The sequence below is a fragment of the Homo sapiens genome, chromosome 1, assembly GCF_000001405.40.
Source record: "Homo sapiens chromosome 1, GRCh38.p14 Primary Assembly".
NCBI lineage: Eukaryota > Metazoa > Chordata > Mammalia > Primates > Hominidae > Homo > Homo sapiens.
In genome coordinates, this window is record NC_000001.11 from 217,304,968 (window position 1) to 217,307,739 (window position 2,772).

At 40.2% G+C, this 2,772-nt stretch overlaps 1 non-coding gene across 1 annotated transcript; it reads right to left on the reverse strand.

Annotated features, from left to right (window-relative positions):
* Positions 1–2,421: 2,421 nt before the first annotated feature.
* On the reverse strand, positions 2,422–2,504 carry LOC124904807 (small nucleolar RNA SNORD45). The gene has a single exon (XR_007067388.1). It is a non-coding gene; the product is annotated as a small nucleolar RNA SNORD45 (small nucleolar RNA).
* Between the last annotated feature and the right edge of the window lie 268 nt (positions 2,505–2,772).

Here is a 2,772-nt window from a genome sequence, read left to right on the forward strand (position 1 = left end):
TGTGGGCATACATTTTCAATTCTTTTGTATATATACCTAGAAGTGAAATTGCTAGATCATATGGCAACTTCACGTTTAACATTTTAGGAACGGCCAAACTGCTGTACAAGTGGCTGTACCATTTTACAATGCCACCAGCAATGGATGAAGTTTCTAATTTCTCCACATCCTTGGCAACACTTGCTATTCTCCATCTTTGTGACTTGAGTCAACCCAGTGAGCATGAAGTGGTATTTCACTGATATAGTTTGAATGTTGTCCCCTCTAAATCTCATGCTGAATTGTAATCCCCAATATTGTAGGTGGTGTCTGGTGAGAGGTAACTGCATCATGGGGGAGGATCCCTCATGGCTTGGTGCTGTCCTCACCATAGTGAGTGAATTCTCACGAGATCTGGTTGTTTAAAAGTATATGGCACCTCCCCCTACCTCTTGCCCCCGCTGTCGCCACGTGAGATGCCTGTTTCCCTTTCACCATCAGCCATGATTGTAAGCTTCCTGATAGCTTCCCAGAAGCCAAGCAAATGCTGGTGCCACGCTTCTACAGCATGCAGAGCGATGAGCCAATTAAAATTTTCATTACAAATTACCCAGTCTCAGGTATTCCTTTATAGCAATGCAAAGAATAGCCTAACACACTCAGTGTGGTTTTGATTTGATTTCCCTGATTAATAATGAGTCCCTCTACATAATTAATGATGCTAAGCATTTTTTAATATACACTGGAAGATTCTTAAGTGTGGGTCCCAAATATTATTTATTTTACTATCTCAGGAACCAAATACAAACTGACATATCATAGGGATACATTTATAGTAATATTTATAAAAAGAATGAATACGTATTTAATTTTTATCAGTATTTGATGATGAATTTTGTGTGTCAACTAGACTCGGTTAAGAAGTACCTAGAGAACCGGTAAAGCAGTACTACAGGTATGACTGTGAGTGTGTTTCAGAGGAGACTGGAGTGTGGATCAATAGACTGAGTGAGGCAAGTCTGCCCTCAATGGAGCACTATCCAAATGGCTGAGGGCCTGGATAGAACAGCAAGAGCAATTTCTTCTCTCTTTCCTGGAGCTGGAATCCTCCTCTTCTCCTGCCCTTAGATAGCAGAACACCAGGCTCTCTGGCCTTGGCATGCTAGGCCTTATAATGCAGCCTCCTGGATTCTCAGTCTTCCAGCCTCAGACTGAGAATTATACCATTGGCTTCCTGGTTCTGAGGCTTCTGGACTAGGACTGAGCCACACTATCAGCATCCCAGGGTTGCCAGATTGCAGATAGCCTGTCATGGGACTTCTCATCCTTCACAATTATGTGAGCCAATTCTTCTAATAAATCACCTGTTTATCTATCTAATCTATCTATCTATCTATCTATCTATCTATCTATCATCTATCTATCTATCATCTATCTATCTATCTATCTATCTATCTATCTATCTATCTATCTTTCCATCTTACTGATTCTGACTCTCTGAAGAACCCTGACAAATGCAGAATTTGGAACAAAGAAGTGGGGCTTCTGCTATAACAAATACCTGAAAATGTGAAAGTGGCTTTGGAACTGGGTAATGGGTAGAAGCCAGAAGAATCTGGAGGAGCGAGCTAGAAAAAGTCCATATTACCATGAATGAAACCTTAAGGACAATTCCATGAGGGCTGAGAAGACGAGCTGTAGGAAGTACCTAAATCTTCTTAGGGATTACTTAAGTGGTTATGATTAGAATGTTGGTAGAAACATAAACAGTAAAGGCCATTCTGATGAGGTCTTAGACAGAAATTAGGAATATCTGTGTGTGCATGTGTGTGTGTGTGTGTGTGTGTGTGTGTGTGTGTGTGTGTTATTAAGTGTATGCCCCTTTAAGGCTTTTAATTGTGATTCTCTTTACATTTTATCTTTTCCTTATTGGAATAGTTCCTGCATTTCTAAAAAGTCACAATAAAAACATAAAAGTAATTTTTTTTTTTGAGACAGAGTCTCACTTTTTCACCCAGGCTGGAGTGCAGTGGTGTGATCTTGGCTCACTGCAAGCTCCGCCTCCTGGGTTCATGCCATTCTCCTGCCTCAGCCTCCTGAGTAGCTGGGACTACAGGCGCCTGCCACCACACCTGGCTAATTTTTTGTATTTTTAGTAGAGACAGGGTTCCACTGTGTTAGCCAGGATGGTCTCGATCTCCTGACCTCCTGATCTGCCCGTCTCAGCCTCCCAAAGTGCTGGGATTACAGGCATGAGCCACTGCGCCCGGCCAAGTAATTTCTTTAAAAAAAAAAAAAGGAAACAAGATAATCAAGTACTCTGAGCACTTTCTTTTATTCTCTTAACTAGAATTTGGAGACCTCTGAAAAATTATATGAATGAAAATAGTGGCTTTGGGAACCAAGTTTGTCATAATTTGGGGGAAGTTTTGGTTTTCTCAGCCAAAAGCTATATTATTTTAGAGTTGAAGTGTTATTATACATCAGCAATAAATTCAGGTAATACATGTCAACACATTTTGACCAGAAATTAGAAATATCTTATTGGAAACTGGAGTAATGGCCATCTGTGTTATAAATTTGCAAAGGACTTGGCTGAATTTTATCTATGTCTTAGGGCATTATGAAAGGTGGAATTGAGCAGTGAACTAGCATATTTAGTAGAAGAAATTTCTATGCAAAATATTGGAGGAGCTGCCTCGCTACTTTTAACTGCATACGCTAAGATGCAAGAGGAGAGAAACAATTTAAAGGTGAAATTTATAATTAAAAGGCAAGCAGAGCAGAGTTCTC